The 19,259-nt window shown below is 43.3% G+C and overlaps 1 long non-coding RNA gene across 1 annotated transcript in view; it reads left to right on the forward strand.

The window, feature by feature from the left end:
* Positions 1 to 19,259, forward strand: part of LINC02774 (long intergenic non-protein coding RNA 2774) — a 129,916-nt gene that overhangs the window by 88,496 nt on the left and 22,161 nt on the right. Inside the window, exons 5-7 of the long non-coding RNA NR_033883.1 lie at positions 4,124 to 4,195; positions 4,800 to 5,023; positions 19,069 to 19,172. This is a non-coding gene — a long non-coding RNA (long intergenic non-protein coding RNA 2774). The remainder of the gene's footprint in view (positions 1 to 4,123; positions 4,196 to 4,799; positions 5,024 to 19,068; positions 19,173 to 19,259) is intronic.

The raw sequence follows: 19,259 nt of genomic DNA on the forward strand, positions 1-19,259 counted from the left end.
TCCCAACACTTTGGGAGGCCAAGTGGGTGGATTGCTTGAGTTCAGGAGTTAGAGACCAGCCTGGGCAATGTGGTGAAACCCCATCTTTACCAAAAAAAAGCTCCCCCAAAATTAGCTGGGCATGGTGGCATGCATCCATAGTCTCAGCTACTCAGGAGGCTGAGGTGGGAGGATCACTTGAGCCCAGGAGGTCAAGGCTGCAGTAAGCCATGATCATGCCACTGCACTCCAGTCTGGGTGACAGAGTGAGACCTTGTCTCAAAAAACAAACAAACAAACAAAACTCTGAAACTGCCCCTCTACCCTGGCCAAAAGAGTAAATGAAAATGAAATCAATATTGCATCCTAGGGAGAATGGTAGAGATTAGTGCCACCCACAAAGACTTAAAGTGCCTAGGAGTAGTGGTTCTAATCATAGTACCCATTTAATTCACCAGTCTGGGCCCCACAAAGACCAGAAAGATTCTGGAGGATGTGAACTATGCAGACTCAAACTCAACCGAGTAATAGTTCCAAGTTCCAATTTCTGATGTCATTACAGACACAGTTTTGTTGTTGTAGTTGTTTTTGCTAGAACGTAGTAACACATCCTCAGGTACATGGTGTGTGGCCTTGGTTTGACAAATGTGTTCTTTGCTATTCCTGTCAGAACAGAGTGCCAGAAGCAGGTTACATTCACATGGAGTGGATGACAGTATACATTTACCATCTCTCCCCAAACATATATCAACTCTTCTCCTTGCAATAATTTAGTCCAAAGGGAACTTGGACTGTCTGGACACTTGAAGAACATTACATTGGTCCACTAATTTGATGACGTCAAGTTAATAGGTTCACATTAACAAGATGTGGCAAGTAATTAGAGACCTGCTAACATATGTGCTTCAGAGGGTGTGAGAAAACCCCACAAACACTGAGGTGTCTATCATATCTATGAACATTTAGTAAAGAACAGTTGACTGCATTTCATATTTCCCCTCACTAAGAGGACAGCATATCACCTGGTAAGCCTCTTTGGGTTCTGAAGGTAGCATTTTCCTCCTTGGAAATATGACTTTGATACATTTTCCAAGTGACATAGAAGGCTGTCAGCTTTGAGTGGGGCCCAGAGCAAGAAAGGGCTCTGCGTCAGGTCTAGGTTGTGATGCAGGCAGCCCTGCTGCTTGAACCGTATGATCAGCAGACCTTCTGTTATTAGAAGTATCTGAGTGGGAAAATATGCCATGTGGAGTTTATGGCAAGCCCAATAGGAGATGCACAATGTAGACCCCTAGGGTTCTGGAGCAAGGCCATGCCATCTGCAGCAGAGAATTATATACCGTTTGAAAGAATAGCTCCTGGCGTGCCAATGGGCCTTGGTTGAAATGAACGTGGGACATCAGGTGACCATGTGGCCAGACTGCCTGTGATGATGTGGGTTCTATTCAACCCATCAAGTCATAAGGTCAGGTGGGCCTAGGAGCAATCCGTCATAAGATAGAAGTAGCACATCCAGAATCGAGCATCAGCAGGGCAGGTGGACACAGGGGAGCTGGATAAGCAGGTGGCCCAGACCCTCCTGTCACCCACCCCTGCCACATAGCCCCTCTCATGCCATTCATATTTATGATGACCACCTGCATGACTGTGAGGGCTGCAGAGCCTCTTATTGATCAACTGATGGAGGAAGAAAAAGGCCAAGCTTAGTGTATGGAAGAGTCAGATTTGCTTGCGGGTGCAAGCCAAAAGTGAACAGTGACTGCATGCCGTCCCTCCTTTGAGTGTCCTTGAAAGACAGAGGGAGGGGAAAATCCTCTTCCCAATAGGAGGAGCTTTGGACTGTGTTATCATTCACTTTTGAGGAAAAAAAGTGACCTATAGAGAGATCCATGGGTGATGGAAAAGGCTAGGCCAGGGACCTGGGAGGAGCAAGAATGGGAATATCAGGGACAAGGACTCTGGGGAAGAGGCATGTGGATAGAACACTGGGCAGAGGCCTTGCATCCCCTTTTAATGCCTACCAGAGGGCATCTACTACAGGAGAAGCACCGAACAACCAAATAGAACACAAAACTAGTGGCCCATGTATTGTACCTATGGGGACACAGTACCACATAATGGTCCCTGACTTAGGGTCCTAGAGGATGGTGTCCCAAGAATGCAGGGTTTCATCTTCAAGCCGGTAGCTAATCTGCTCCTTTAAAAGCCCATCTCATCTCTCCATCAGGCCAGCAGCTTCTAGGAGATATAATAAGTGACAGGATGAGCAGAGCCCACGGTCAAATGCTCCCTGCTGCAACTTCTTCGCTATAAAGCGACTCACTCGCCCATGTCAGCTAGCCTCTCTCATGGCCGCCTACGTGCTGGTACAGCTGGTGCATAAACATGGTGGCTGCTACCTCAGGGATGGAGGGTCCGTGTGGGCTCAGCAGCATGGGCTGTCTCTCACTAAGGCTGACTTAGTCATTACTGCTTCTGAATGTCCAAACTGCAAGTCACTGAGACAAATGCGCAGCCCAAGATGGAGCATCATCCCGCAGAGGGACCAAACGGCCACTTAGCAGGGAGTTGATTCCTTGCATCCTTTCCACTCCAGAAGAGGAAATGATTTATCTTGATGAGAATTGATACATAGACCAGGTATGAGTTTAGTTTTCCTGCCTACAGGGCCTAAGCTACTATGTGAAGGCCCACAGAGTATTTGCTCCACTGACATGGGAGCCCACATCACATGCATGGGACCAAGCAATCAACTTTACAGCAAAGGAGGTGCAGCAGGAGCATTGGACCATGGGCTCTGCTCCTCCTATCCCATATTCTATCTCCCAGAAGCTGCTGGCCTGGTGAAGAGATGAAACAGGCTTGTAAAGGATCGGTTCAGGCACTGGCTTGAAGATGATACTCTGCATATCCTCCAGGACCGTAAGTCAGTGACCATTATATGGTACTGTGTCCCTGGTAGGTAGAATACACACATCTGGGAACCAAAACACAGAGGGAGGCACAGTCCTGCTCACCATCCCTCCCAGCGACCCGCTTAGGGAATCTGTGCCTCGCATCTCTTCTGCTCTGGGTTCTGTGGGGTCAGAGGGTTTGCTCTGAGAAGGGAATGCTTCAACCAGGGGGCAGAGCAAGAGTCCCATTAAACTTTAAGCTGCCAGGGGCCAGGCATGGTGACTCATGCCTGTAATCCCAGCACTTTGGGAGGCCGAGGCAGGTGGATCACTTGAGGTCAGGAGTTTGAGAACAGCTCGGCCAACATGATGAAACCCTGTCTCTACTAAAAATATAAAAATTAGCCAGGTGTGGTGGCGCACGCCTGTAATCCCAGGTACTCGAGAGGCTTAGGATTGCTTGAACCTGGGAGGTGGAGATTCCAGTGAGCTGTGATCACGCCACTGCACTCCAGCCTGCGGGCAGCAGAGTGAGACACCACCTCAAAACACACACACACACACACACACACACACACACACACACACACACACACACACACAAATTTAAGCTGCCAGGCATGGTGGTGCATACCTATAGTCCCAGCTACTCTGGAGGCTGAGGAGGGAGGATCCCTTGAGCCCAGGAGTTTGAGGCTGCAGTGAACCATGATTGCACCGCTGCACTCCAGCCTGGGAGACAGAGCAAGACCTCCAATCTCTAAAAAAAAAAAAAAAAAAAAAAAAAAAAAAAAAACAAAAAAAAAACTTTAAGCTATAGCTGCCACTGGGTCTTCCAGCACCCTTGTGCCTAGAAACTATCAGGCAAGGAAAAGAGTTTCCCTCCTGGCGGGAATAATTGACTCTGATCATCAGGAGGAGGTAGGGCTGCTATTTATACAATGGGGCAGGAAACGATATGCCTGCTATGCATATTGTTTTGGTGTCTATTGGTGCCCCTTGGCAAACTGTGATGATAAACAGACAAGTGCAGTATGTACAGCCTGAAAGCACAGGTGACCAGGGTCCTAGGGATGAGGCTCAGCTCCACCCCACTCTGTAAGCCACCTGCATCAGCAGAGGTGCTAGCTGGAGGTGAGGGGAATATGGAATGGGTAGAGGTGGAGTGAGGGGATGGGTAGCAGTTATAGAGTCAAGACCAGCTATAGCTACAGGGACTATAGTTCCTCCCACTAACCTTCCTTTTGAAGTTTCTCCAGGACAAGAGAAAAAGAGAATCCTGAAGGCATGGTTCCCAGACGGGGTGAAATAGTTAATACAGAGTAAGTAGATTCAAGCATATGAGAGTGGATGTGGCAACTTACAGTCCAGATCCCTGCTCAGGACCCAGGCACCATTTCCCCAGCCTTTGGGAGGGTTTGCAGTCAGCTCATAGATGTCCCCCAGCCAAAGGGAACTCCCCACCCAAGCCTGCACCCCTCCCCAGTGGCATGTCCAATGCCTGATGGATGCAGGGGTGAAAAGACTCAGCCCCAATGTCTCAATTCCATCCAACACTGAAGGGACATCCCAGCTCCGGAGCACCCCGTGTGGTTGGCTGAGGCCCCTGCTGCAGGTGCACCAGAAGTCAACATCTCTTTCCACCCACTCTTGTGCCCTAACTCCGTCACAGGTGTGACTCACCAACACGCCTCACTTAAGTGTGCTGCGGGCTCATCTCTGAATCCACAGAGTCTGGTTTCAGGGAACTTTAACCTAAGACAGCCTGAGACTAGATGGATCTACAGTGGATAACCAACCGAAACAGAACAACAATTCCTGGTTCCATCAGAACATCGATGGCATACTTTTCAGGGTTGTTTCAGGCTAAATTGGAACATTGCGCTCGATGCTGAAGAATGATATTTGTTGTTTATCGTTTTACAGAATTCTTCTAACTCAGGCCCAAACATCTCCACACTGTCCCCATCCTCAAGCCCTGCTGTCCACCCCACCCCTATTTGTACAGGAGCCATTTAATAGAGCAAACAGTATTCGTTTGGCAGTTTATTTGTGCTGCACCAAAAAAAAAAACAGAGAAGCCAAAACTGAAAGAAAAAGGAAAAACAAAAAACCAGAAATGGAGAAGTGTTCCCTTTCCAGACAATCATGTAAGTATCCGTAATTAACTTATGTCTTTTTATAGAAGTTATGGATTTTTGTGTTTAAACACTGACCACAAAAAGTGACTAGTAAAATCTCTGAAAAGTTAAGGGAAGTGCTTAAATTCCAATTTTAGTAAACTTGTGTCCAATTCAATTTTCTGTGATTTTTAACAGAAATGGAATGTTGGGGAGAACTGGGAAAAAAGGGTAGTATTCTGGTTTGCATGGTAGACCCCATGTGAACAGGTGTTTAAAACTCACTGCTAGGTAAACTAGATTCAAATTCAGAACTTTTGTCGAGCAATGAATATTTCAAACTTTTACTTTTTTTTTTTTTTTTTTTTGCTGACAAAACCTTGTTTTTTCCCCCTTCCCTTTTTTTTTTTTTTTTTTTTTTTTTTTTTTCCAGCAGGAAGGCACAATCATTCTACAATGCTGCCAAATATAACAAACATCTACAGATGGGTTGGTCTGCAGCTGGAGGCTTTAACTTTGTAGTATTTATTTGAAATATCCAAGCCAGCAGAGCAGGGCTAAAGCACAGTGGGCACAATTCACAATGTTTTGGCTCTGGAGCAAATAGCAGTTGAACTTAGTTTTTTCAGCTAAAATGGAATTTATGCAGATGTGCTTTGCACTAAATTCATTAAACAATTACATCCTGGTGCAGTTTTCACATTTTTGTAAAGGATCTGCATAAGCACTAATTAGATCTAAAACAATGTTACTGGGCAAATTACAGTGCCGATTGTTCGCCTCGGCTTGCATTCCACATCTGCTTTGCAATGATGATGATAATTTAGGTGCAAGCAATACAAATGCCGGTTTTTGTTACATTTAATAGAAATATTTATTTAAAACATACTATAGATTAATTGATAATGTAACCATTTTTAAAGAGCCTCCAAATGTTTTCTCACGGACATTGAGTGGAAAAATGCAATCTGTGAAAATACAGTAGCTGAAACTTCTCACAATTGCTAACTGGCATTTCCTCAGTGAGGTTTGCTATTGAAAGGCAACTTTGCATTTCATTTGGCTTCAAGTACAAGCTGGGTTCGCTGAATTACAGCAGTGCCTTTGAGAGTGCAGCGGCATTTGACATAAAGGCGTAAAGACTTTCCTAAACAGCTCCCAGTCGTGGCAACCCACGCTACCTCTTCTTTGGTCAATCAGTTTCAAAGGCTGACTTAGTATTGGAAAATTATTTAATGGCTTAAGTATTTCAGATGTTAGAGTATGTTTTCTTTCTTCCATATTCATCTTCTTTCTACTTTGTATATCATTAAGTATAAGAAGGCATATTAACGTTTAAACATAAAATCAATTCTGCTGAAGCGAGGACATTCAGACAGGGTTTCTATGGCAACTTTGAATGTACCAACTTAATTCAGGGTTTGCTCCAACCCAGAGTCACCTCCATTATCACTCTCACCCTAGACATTCTTTAACTCGCCTGGCCAGCCATGTAGTCGGGAATCCTGAAGTGCGATCACTCTGCTCCTGCCCAGGCTAACGGCTACGACGACTAGCTAGCATTATCTCTCTCCCTGGGAAGGAGGCCAACCTGGTGAATCAGTTTGGCTTCTGGTTTCCTAAAAACCACTCCTGTTGTTTGACTTTTTGAATGGGTTACTTTTATTGTTTGATAGAGCCAGACATACAACAGCAAGCTTGGTGCCAGCACTGACAAAGATGAAAAGGCAAAATGAAACTCCGAGGGTAATTGTCATGAAAGTCCAAGTTTGGACATATCTCCTCTCTATGAGGGAACACTGTGCTAATTATTAATGCAAAGCACAGCCAGCATTCATGGTGCTCTCAAAATTTAGCATCCATGTTCATTCATTCAGTTTACTGGAGTGCTTCCCTAACCTTTACGCGGGACTTTCCATTTCATTCTGCGGTTTTTGCTAGGTAAGAGGGATTGGAACTAGAAGAGTGATAATTTCTTCTACAGCCTTAATTGGTAAGCCTGAAAATGCTGTGCTGGTGGAATATGAAATTATATCCTCTTTGAAGGAAAACATAATTTAGCACCGGGGCTTTGGGTTGTTTGAAGGTAAAATGTATTATGCCTGTGGAAAAGGCAAAGCAATATTTGTAATAAAAGACGTCATTTTTTAAAGACTCAGAAAAAAGAGAATAATTAGTATTTCCTAACTTGAACCCAAAATTCTTCTTGATTCACCCTGGGAAGATGGTTGGTTCTATATTTTATTTCCATTTTGTGTTTTACCGTAAGGGGGAAAGAATGAGGATTTAATTTTTACCAAATTAAAAGTAATGTGAGAGTTATTTCCCAAACTCCCAAAAGCTGCCTTTGGGCTGGGGAAAAATGGAGAAAACTCTAACCAAAACACTGAAATTTATTTATTTATTTATTTATTTATTTATTTATTTCTTACTTATTTGTTTACTTACTTATTCATTTATTTGAGACAAGGTCTCACTCTGTCGCCCAGGCTGGAGTACAGTGGTACAATCTTTATTCACTGCAGCCTCCAACTCCCAGGCTCAAGCAATCCTCCCTCTTCAGCCTTCTGAGTAGCCAGCACTAGAGATGCATGCCACCACACCTGGCTAATTTGTAACAATTTTTTAGAGACAGGGTCTTGCTATTTTGCGAAGGCTGGTCTCCAACTCCTGGGCTCAAGCAATTCTCCCACCTTGACCTCCCAAAGTGTTACTGGTGTGAGCCACTGGCCAAAGACACTGAAATTTTAGAAAGTTACGAACAGTGAAGGAGTTATTATGGTAACTTCTTCAGTCATAACAGCATTAATCATTCCCGTAGCTGAGAAAAAGTTTAGGTAACTTCTGAAGTGATAACTAAATGAAAGAACAGAGCTCTTGGCAAAACTGACTTAATGCAACTGTTGTACCTTTTGGCTAAAGGGAATCTCATTTGTGGTTTGATGGCACAGACGATACCATTTGCTCCTCCTAACTTTCTAAGTTGCTGGATAGTGACCATCTATGGCCCTATGGGGCCAGAGGCAACTCTGGGTTCTATTTTACCTCTCTCCTTCTTTCTTGGCCTTCTTCTTTCTCCCATTCCACAAGAGTTTCTGGTTCTTTCTCTGGGCCAAGGAATCTATTAGGCACTGTAGAACCAGAGACGAGTATGCCAGAGGACCTGCCTTTGTGGATTCACACTCTGGTAGGGAAGAGTCACGCATCCTTATCCAACAGGGCACAGACTTGTCATCCCTGATAGAGATCCTAGGCCATGTACTGGGAAAAACCCAGAGGTTGGGTGGCTATAGTCGTTAGGAAATAATCTTACTTCCTGGACTACTTTGTATTTGCTGGATTGAACTCCTGAATTTTATTAGTCAGAACATATTATCCAATATTATGTTACATATTATTGCATATCTGATATAATATTACATGTATAAACTGATCCACTAATGTCCATCAGGACAAATACAAATTGTTGTAATTGAGGATGCTGATAATGGAGGATGACGTTCCTCAGCCCTCAGAGTGTCTCTTCATAAGGCCTTGTAGAAATTGCCAGCATTAAAATTCCCTCTTAAATGAATCTTCTTTAAGGAGCTTATCCTTTTAACCAGTTTAACTTTATATTAACTGGATTAACTTTAAATCATCAGCACTTTCAGGCACTTCTGGTAGAAATTTGCCAGTCTAGATGTTGCTTCTGCGCTGGTCGAGTGGCTATGTCTCTCCTTGTAGTGGTGTCATCTGTGTGTCCCAGACAGCAAGAGCTCCTTGCTGTATAAGAGAGGAGAATCTCACATTTGGGCTTCTGTGTCAGAAAGGCTAACACTATAGAGAAAGGAGCATATGAGAGATTTTATTTTATGTATTTATTTATTTATGTTTGAGATGGAGTTTGCTCTGTTGCCCAGGCTGGAATGCAGTGGTACCATCTCAGCTCACTGCAACCTCCTTCTGCTGGGTTTAAGCAATTCTCCTGCCTCAGCCTCCAGAGTAGCTGGGATTACAGGCATGCACCACCACGCCCTCCTAATTTTTGTATTTTTAGTAGAGATGGGCTTTCACCATGCTGGCCAGGCTGGTCTTGAACTCCTGACCTCAAGTGATCCACCTGCCTTGGCCTCCCAAAGTGCCAAAAGAAAGGAGGAAATAACAGTGACGGCAGAGGGAGCCAGGAGCCCAAGCATAGCTAAGACAACGCTGGGTATCTGATGCCTGGTGGCCCTACAAGAGAAAGCTTAAAGGGTGGACATGAGCCTAAGAGACACTTACACTTAATTTTACCTGGAATTTGCCCTGCCCATTAGCTTCTTTAAAACAGTCAATAAAACACATGTATTAGGAGGAAGTTCAGAACTGGGCTGGGCTGTCCTTTCTGTACACATCCGATTCTGGTTGGTTTGACAACATTTTAAAGCACCTACTATGCAGCAAGCTAGTATGATTTAAGGATATCACAAGGCTCAAAAAGTTTGATCCCTTCTTGCCTTCAAACTCTGCTTAGTGGGAGCGGGAATCATATATGCCATTCTGCACAGCACAAAGCATAGCACATTATCTGGTACATGGTAGGTGTTTTCTGCATATTGGAGATAGACACCTAGCAGATCATTTCAATATAAAACAGTAGGTAAGGGAAGCAATGAACGTCTGTAGAAGAGTCCCCAACCCAATCTCTTTGAGTCCTAAAGGATTTGTATATGTTAACTGCGCCAAGAAAACTGGAGAGGGCTTTCAGACGGAGGGAATGGCATAAACAGAGTCATGGAGATATGAAAAGACATGGTGTTTGGAAAAACTACAAGTAGTGTGGTGTTATTAAAACCTAGAGGTTGATGCGGATCACTGGGAGATAAAACTTGAGAAGCAGATACAAATCAGACTTGTCCTGTGGGCCATACTGAGGACCTTGGGTTTTACTCTGTAGGCAATGAGAAAGCATTTGAAGTGTTTTAAGCACCAATCACTCTCATGTATGATATTATCTCACTGCCTTGTAATAATAATTGCTCATATGTATTGAATGTTGTTTGCTAGGTGCACATCTCAATGCTTTACAGGCCTTTTCTCATTTTACAGATGAAAACCTTGACACCGAGAGATTAAGTAATTTGCCCAAGGTCACAGTTTTAAGTGCAGAGCTTGGACTTGAACCCAGGTCTGTCACTGCAGCAAGAGGCAAGGAGAGTGTGCAGGATTTCACAGAGAAGTATAATAATACCATGGTTTTTGACATTGTTAGTCATCACAGGGGATGTAAATCAAAACCACAAGGTACCTGTTTATACCCACCAGGATGGCTAGAATAAAAAAGTCAGATAACAAGTTTTGGAAGGATATGGGAAAGTCAGAACCCTCATATATTTCTGGTGCAAATGTACAATGTTTCAGTTGCTCTGGAAAACAGTCCGGCAGTTCCTCAACTGATTAAACATGGAGTTACCATAGAATTCAGTAATTCCGCTCCTAGGTATATGCTATAGACTGAATGTTTATATGTTAAAACTCATATGTTAAATCCTAATGCCCAATATTTGAAGGTGAGGCTTTGGGAGGTGACTAGGTCATGGGGGCAGATCCCTCATGAAGGGAATTAGTGTCCTTATAAAAGAGGCCCCATGGAACTCCCTTTTCTTTCTGCCATGTGAGTTTATATCAAGAATATGGCCGTCTATGAACCAGAAAGTTGGTCCTTACCAGACTTGGAATCTGCCTGCTATGCTTTGGTTCTGTGTCCCCAGCCACATCTCATCTCAACTTGTAACCCCCACGTGTGGAGGGAGGGACCTGGTGGGAGGCGACTGGATCATGGGGATGGCTCCCCCATGCCATGCTCATGATAGTGGGTGAGTTCTCATGAGATCTGATGGTTTGAAAGTGCAGCACTTGCGCTTTGTGCTGTGAGTCAATTAAACCTCTTTTGTTTATAAATGACCCAGTCTCAGGTAGTATCTTTATAGCAGTGTGAAAATGGACTAATACATTGCCAGTACCTTGATCTTGGACTTCCCAGCCCCTAGCACTGTGAGAAATAAATTTCTGTTGTTTATATGCTGTCCAGTTGATGGTATTTTGTTATAGAAGCCCAAAGAAACTAAGACAGTATATAGCCAAGAGAAATAAAAACCCACGTCCACACGAACATTTAAACATGAGTGTTCAGAGCAGCATTGTTCATGTAGCCAAATGGTGGAAGCAACCCAAATATCCATTAATGGGTGAATAGATAAACAAAATGTGCTATATCCATACAGTGGAATTTCATTTGGCCATAAAAGAGCATAAAGTATTGTTATTGATATATGCTACAACATGGATGAACCTTAAAAACATTATGCCAAGGGCAATAATCACAAAAAAAATATATACTATGTGATCCAATTCATATGCAAGTCGAGAATAGGAAAATCAACAGAGGCAGAGAGTACATTAGTAGTTGCTTAGGCGCAGGGGGAATCAGGCGAATGAGAGGCAATGGCCAAAGGGTACAAAGTTTCTTTTTGAGGTGATGAAAATGTTCTAAAATTGGCTATAATGGCGTTTGCACGTATCTGTGAACATACTAAAAACCACTGAATTGTACACTTTAAATGGGTGAACTTTATGATAGGTGAATTATAGCTTAATAAAGCAGGTTTTAAAAAGAAGCTTTCAAGTTCTCTGAAAGGAGTCGTATTCAAAAGGTCCCATGGTACAACACATTTTTAATGACCCTCAAATTGATCATCTTGAGTGGGAGGGTGGTGTTTTCTTATGAAGCTCCATCGAAAGGGTCATGTGTAGGAATCAGAATATTTGGGTTTTTAAATAGTGAGTTTACAATAATTCATTATTTTTTTAATTTTTATTTTTTTAGAGACAGGGTCTCACTCTGTCTCCCAGGCTGGAGTGCAATAGTGTGATCATAGTTCACTGCCAGCTTGAGCTCTCAGGCTCAAATGATCCTCCTTCCTCAGCCTCCTGAATAGCTAAAACTACAGGTGTGCACCACCATGCCTGTGTAATTTTTTTTCACTTTTTTTGTAGTGACATTGCCCCATCTCACTACGTAGGCTGGTCTTGAACTGGCCTCAAGTGATCCCCCCACCTTGGCCTCCCAAGTGCTGGGATTACCTGTGTGAGCCTCCATTCCCTGCTGGAGTCAGAATATTTGGATTGAAATCCCAGCTTTACAAGTTTCATAACATTGGACAACTTACTTAACTTCTCTCTAAGCAGCCTTTTCCTCATCTGTCACATGAAAACAATACTGGTGAGCATCTACTTTGTAGGGTTGTTGCAAGGACTGAATGAGAATGGTTGCATAGCACCCAGTTAATGCCTGGTTCCAGTAGGTGCTCAGTATACACTGCTCATTACTATTAGTAATAACCATGTTAGTGTTCATTATAATAGTAATGGAATAAATGACTCTGTAAAATAATCTCTTCAGATTCCAACAAAACAAATAATGAGATTAATAAAAACAAAATCAACTCTAATGGTTTATTTGATTTTGTCATGGAGACGGATTTCGTCCTAGAGCCCTCCTCACATCCATTAGGAGGACTGCTATTTTTAAAACAACAGAAAATAAAAGTGTTGGTGAGGATGTTGGGTATTGAAACTCTAGTGCACCATTGGTGGGAATGTAAAGTGGTGTAGCCACTGTAGAAAACAGTATGGTGGTGTCTCAAAAAATTAAAAACAGAATTATCATATGATTCAGCAATTCTACTTCTGCATATATACCTAAGAGAACTGAAAGCAGAGTCTTGAACAGATATTTGTACACCCATGTTTATAGCAATACTCTTCACAATAGTCAAGAGTTGGAAGCAACCCAAGTGTTCATCTGTGGATCTTTGGGTCAACTAAAATGTGCTATATCCACACAATGGAATACTATTCTGCCTTCAAAAGGAAGGGAGTTCTGACACATGCTACAACACAGATGAACCTTGGGGACATTATGCCAAGTGAAAAACAAGCAGGTCACAAGAGGACAAATACAGCATGACTTCATTTCTATGAGGTGTCTACAGCAGTCAAATTTACAGAGTTAGAAAAGAGAATGGTGGTTGCCAGAGACTGACCAGAGGAAGAACAAGGAGTTGTTGTTTTGTAGAACAGAGTTGCAGTTTTGCAAGAGTTCTAGAGATTGTTTGCACAGTAATGTCAATGTACTTAACACTTAATGAACTGTACACTTAAAAATCGTTAAGATTTTGGCTGGGCATGGTGGCTCACACCTGTAATCCCAGCACTTTGGGAGGCTGAGGCGGGTAGATCACAAGGTCAGGAGATCGAGACCATCCTGGCTAACACGATGAAACTCTGTCTCTACTAAAAATACAAAAAAATTAGCCGGGTGTGGTGGCAGGCGCCTGTAGTCCCAGCTACTCAGGAGGCTGAGGCAGGAGAATGGTGCGAACCCAGGAGGCGGAGCTTGCAGTGAGCTGAGATTGCGCCACTGCACTCCAGCCTGGGAGACAGAGCGAAACTAGGTCTCAAAAAAAAAAATAATAATTAAGATTTTGTTATGTGTATTTTACCACATTTTTTTTTTAAAGCCATGGTTGCCTGCATTATTAGCTCTGTGTCTGAGAGGTGATACAGGGTCATGATGAAGAGCTGCTTTGGACTTCCACAGACCTGGATCTGAACTCTGTTCCACTGCAGTCTAGCTAAGTAACCCTGGTCAACTTCCTCCAGACTCCACTTTTCTAAGATGGAAACTCTATCAGGTTAGGAAAGACTGCTTTATCCAACAGTGAAATGATAACTAAAGAAGACTATGCCTGTGCTACCTGTTTAATTTTTTTTCTAAAGTTTTGTTAAGTGGCTGTCTTAACTGTTACTAATTTTTATCAAAACAGGGCTTCCTTATAGTGTTTCAGGGGCACTATCTTTACAATTAAAAATCTGCTTTTGGGCCGGGTGCAGTGGCTCACGCCTGTAATCCCAGCATTTTGGGAGGCCAAGGCGGGCAGATCACCTGAGGTCAGGAGTTCAAGACCAGCCTTACCAACATGGAGAAACCCCATCTCTACTAAAAATACAAAATTAGCCGGGCGTGGTGGTGCATGCCTGTAATCCCAGCTACTTGGGAGGCTGAGGCAGGAGAATCGCTTGAACCCAGGAGGCAGAGCTTGCAGTGAGCTGAGATCGTGCCATTGCACTCCAGCCTGGGCAACAAGAGTGAAATTCCATCTTAAAACAAAACAAACAAACAAACAAATCTGCTTTTGAGGGAAATGAAGGGAGGGGGACATTTCACAGATGCTAGGCATGCATAACCACAATGACCATACGTCTATGGTTGCCAGGTAAAACACAGGACACCTCATTAAATTTGAATTTAACATAAACAATGAACATTTTTATAACAATTTTTTAGTTTAAGTCATGTCCTAACTATTGCATCATGTCCCATGCAGTATGTGGAATATACTTATATGAAAATTTTAACTGGGTGTTACGTTTTGGATATTTGTCTCTGCCAAACCTCATGTTGAAATTTGATCCCCAATGTTGGGGGTGGGGCTAATGGGAGGTGTTTGGGTCATGGGGTGATCCTCATGAATAGATGAATGCCCTGGGTGATGGAGAGTGGTGAGTGAGTGAGTTCTCACTCTTAGTTCCCATGAGAGTGGGTTGTTAAAAAGAGCCTAGCACCAGCTGGATGTGGTGGCTCACGCCTGTAATCCCAGCATTTTGGGAGGCCAAGGCAGGCAGATCACCTGAGGTCAAGAGTTTGAGACAAAATTAGCCGGGCGTGGTGGTGCATGCCTGTAATCCAGTTACTTTGGAGGCTGAGGCAGGAGAATCGCTTGAACCCAGGAGGCGGAGGTTGCAGAGAGCCAAGATCGCACCACTTCACTCCAGCCTGGGTGATGGAGGTCTCAAAAAAAAAAAAAAAAAAAGCCTAGGACCTCCCACTCTCTCTTGCTTCCTCTCTTGCCATACAATCCCTGCACACACTGACTCCTCTTCACCTTCCATCATGAAGCAGCCTAATGCCCTCACCAGATGCAGATTCCCAGTCTTGAACTTTCCAGCCGTCAGAATCATGAGCCAAATCTACCTTTTTTTCTGTATAACGTACTCAGTCTCAGGTATGCCTTTATAGCAACACAAAAGCGACTAAGACACTGAGTGTCCTGTATTTTGTCTGCTAAATCTAACAACCCTACATATAACATTATTGTTTTTATAGCTCAAATAAGTGGCAAAAGTTAGCTCTAAGGAAGAGGAATATCTAGGTTTTTTTTTTTAGTAGTACAGCAATTCTTCATTCTTGTCCCAATGTTTGTGTTTGGCTATTATCAAAGAAACATGATAGGCATATGGCTTGATGATTAAAATGGTAACTGATAACGGGTCTGATATATTGATCTTTTATTTCGTCTCCTAGATATAATGGCTTTGAAACAAAAATATACATGGGCTAACTGCCTTATTTTCTTTTCTGCCTCTTATTTTATTAAAGCATATGTGAAATATCCTTTACTTTGTGCTGGGTCCCCCTCCCCCGATTTTCCTCAAAAGCAGATTTTTAACTATGAAGATGGTGCCCCTGAAACACTATAAGGAAGCCCTGTTTTGATAAAATTAATAACAGTGAAGACAGCCATCTAACAAAACTTTAATTAGGGAATTCTCCTTCCATCTTGGAGTGCCTACAGTGTTGAATGTGATTTAAATACTGCGGGCCCCACTTGCATTCACCAGACAGGCTCCTGCTGGGGACAGTGCTGTGTCATTAAAATGGAGTCCACTGAGAGAGACAATAGTCACACTGTACAGAAGCATGAAAGCCATGGCAAGTATTTTTCAGCCTTATCTCAAGACAGTCATGTAATATGTGCTTACAGATTTGATTGATCTGCTCCATGGGACCTCTCTGCTTCTCCATGAGAGTTTGTGTTTGATTTCTCAGGACAGTGGAGTGTGGTGGTGACAACCTGAGAACCAGGACCCAGGAGGCACAGGGGTCCTCAGGTTCTGTTGCCTGTAGGCCTGGGACTTGAACTTGTCACCAACCCTCATGGAGTGTCAGCTGCCATGGCTGAACAATTGGGAATAATGAATGCACTTGAGGGCAGATGAGAAGGTGCCCTCAAAAGAGCTCTGGGAATAGCACCAAGCTGAAGCATGTGTGCAAAGGGCTCTTCTGTTTTCTGGGGCTCCAGCCTCCCTCAAGGTTGATGGGCCTTCTCCACTCCGCCCCATCCTGCCTGCCCCGCCGGCCCCTCTCCTTGCCTGCTGTGGCACCACTGAGCCACCACTGGAAAATGACCTGACTGTGGTCTTCTTTGACAAACTCAGTAACAAAGATGCCCGCCCAACAGTGGACCTCATGGTCGCTTAAAGAGTTGAGAAGCCACCTCCCCACATCTTCAAGGGGCACAACAGACCTGGGCGTTTTAGTGTAATATTTAATTTATTAGAATGACAAATGTAAAAGCCCAGTTTCCTAGAGCCTTTTTTTTGTTTTTGTTTTGTTTTGTTTTGTTTTTTTGTAGAGACAGAGTTTCGCTATGTTAGCCAGGCTGGTCTCCAACTCCTGGCCTCAGGCAAATTCTCTGTTACCCAGGCTGGAGTGCAGTGGCGCAATCATAGCTTACTGTAACTTCAAACTCCTGGCCTCAAGGGATCCTCCCCCATCAGCCTCTTCCAAAACACTGGGATTGCAGGCATGAGCCACCTCACCCAGCCCTTTGAGTAGTTTTTGACTGGCTTGAGTTGAAAGGACTAAATTCCCCTTAAACTATTAGTGCCATTTATGTTAATTATTAGTTTCCTTTAAGCATTTTAAACTGCAGTGATAAACTTAATACACTTAATTAGCTTTCTAAGCAACTCAAATATCTGATCTGGCTTAAGTTAATAACCCTAACAAACAAAACCTTCCAACGATTTTAAAGTTTTATAAATCTGGTTAAATTGGGAGTTATGAATATTGTGACTCTCAAGTTCTATCAAGTATTCTAATAGTGTTTAAAAGTTAGTAAACTTATAACATTCAGTTTACCACTTAAAAGTCTCAAAATCACACTTATAAAATTGTAGTCGGCAGGTTGTGGAGCACGAAAGAGGTGCAGGGCCAAGGTGACCTGGGTTGTGGGTTGACAGAGACTATGTCTTATGTCTTACAAAGAGCTGGATTGTGTACATAGGACAGTGGGAGGGTGGTGGGGGCGGAGAGAGAGAGGCGGCAGGTAATTCTGTTTTACATGCAAATATCGAGAAGTGTCTAGTAGGCAGCTGGAGATATGGGACTGAAGGTTGAGGTAAAGATTTCATTGTCAGAGAGAGTATAGGGAGAGGAAAGAGCAAAGGTCCAACTGAGCCTAGGACATTGGGAGCCCCACACAGGCTCATGATGGACCCAGAGAGTAAATCAGGGGAACAACACAGCCAGTCCACAGCTCTGGGCCCTGTGCTTTCACCCTTTTGGAGCGGAAAGGCAACCCCGGAGGAGCTGTGGCTGACCTTGCACTTGCCATGATCGTACCGTGTTAGCTGTGATGTCTTTAACTTTGGGGCTCAAGTTTCCCCCTCTGTGGGATTGAGATGATAATAATGGTTTCTACTGTAAGAGAAGAAAAGAAATTGCTATTCAAAGTCCAACTCACTTCTAAGGAAAATGGCTCTGTAAAAACAGAAATTGACTAAGCACAAATAGGCCCGGGATATAGGAGCGGATGCCAGGGAGGGGCTTGTAAAATCAAGAGGAATTTGAACTTTCCTGGGACTATTTGTGGGCATGGTGAGGAAGGGCTCAAGAAGGGAGGCTGGGGTGGAGAGAAGACCAGGCTGGCCACTGAGGCAGCCATGAGCCACGTTTGGCTACTGAGCTCTTGAAATGAGCTCAGTCAGTGTAAAATATACACAGTGTTGAAAGACATTATGAAAAAAGAATGTTAAAACCATCATTCATACTTTTAAATTTTGATTACATGTTGAAATTCAAATTCCCAATATTGGATAAAATAAGGAAGGTTAAAATCAATAAATTAATTTTTAATACCACTACCAGGAAATATTAAATTGCATACGTAGATTGTTTTTCTGTTGGATGGTCTGGGTTACAGTTATTAATAAAAGGAAGAGTCAAATGTGCCCTATAATAGAGTGGGTGATTTTATTTTTAAAGCACTGTGATGTCTAATATTCAATTTGAACTTGTTTTGAGCCATAGCCATGTAAACATCCTCTTTGCCTCCCTCCAGATCTTTGCATAAGTCTATTCCATACTTAATTTGCTCTTTGTGAGTGCATTTTCTGGGAGCAGAAATTAAGTTTCACCTCTGGGTCTCTGGTACAGTCCAGTGACAACACTTGTAGGACGAGGTGATCATGAGAAAGACAGATTTTCTATACCAGGAATTCATAGGTTCCTTGGTGGGGGGTTTAACTTCTGCAGGATGAAGATTTGGAGCTCTGAGCCAAAATCATCTAAGTGTCAAGAGGTAGCAGTGCTCCTGCAGCCATCTGGGTGGCATCGTTTTGTAGGAGTTGTTAAGTTTATAGGTGAGAAGTTTAGAAGGCACCTGGTCTAATCCATAAGAAAGATCAGCGACGACAGGATCCAAGCCCCCATGATGAGTGGGAGGAATTGTCTGCCCATCACTTTAACTATCTATTATTGGCTGACTTCTGGGATACTCTGAGTAAGCAAGGTGGATGAGATTGGGGAAGGACTTAGTGACCAAATGCAAACATAAATGCGATGTGGGAGGCAGCAGAGCCTTTCTGTTAGAGCAGTTTGTGGTCTGTACACCTCCTGTGTAGAGCTGATGTTTTCACACTCATCCCCGACACCCTCCTGCTATTTAGGGCTAACGCTCGACCCATGGATTATTGAGGGAGGGAAAATATTGCTGCTGCTGAGACCCTAGGGTTTGATCACCCATGCCTTCTGTATCTCAGTTCCCATCCAGACACCTGTTACACATTTTTACAGCAAGCCTCACACTCACACAGCAGTAGTTTCAGGAGAAAAGACTTCCTGGAACTATTCAAATATTTTGTCAAAGTCTCTCTCTCTCTCTCTCTCATTGGAGGCTCCATTCTTTTTTCTACCTTCTGGCTTTGAGGCAAGAGAAGAAGATTCCATGAAGCTCACATTCCAACATTGGAGACAGCATGGAGCTGTCAGTGACCTCCCCACTTCCAAGCAGAAATCGTCACATGTAAGAAGGTACGGGTCCATAATCCCTCATCTGAAATGCTTGGGGCCAGAAGGGATTCGGAATTCAGGAGTTTGCAGATTTTAGAAAGGTAACAT

This window comes from Homo sapiens, chromosome 1 (genome assembly GCF_000001405.40).
Source record: "Homo sapiens chromosome 1, GRCh38.p14 Primary Assembly".
Taxonomy (NCBI): Eukaryota; Metazoa; Chordata; class Mammalia; order Primates; family Hominidae; genus Homo; species Homo sapiens.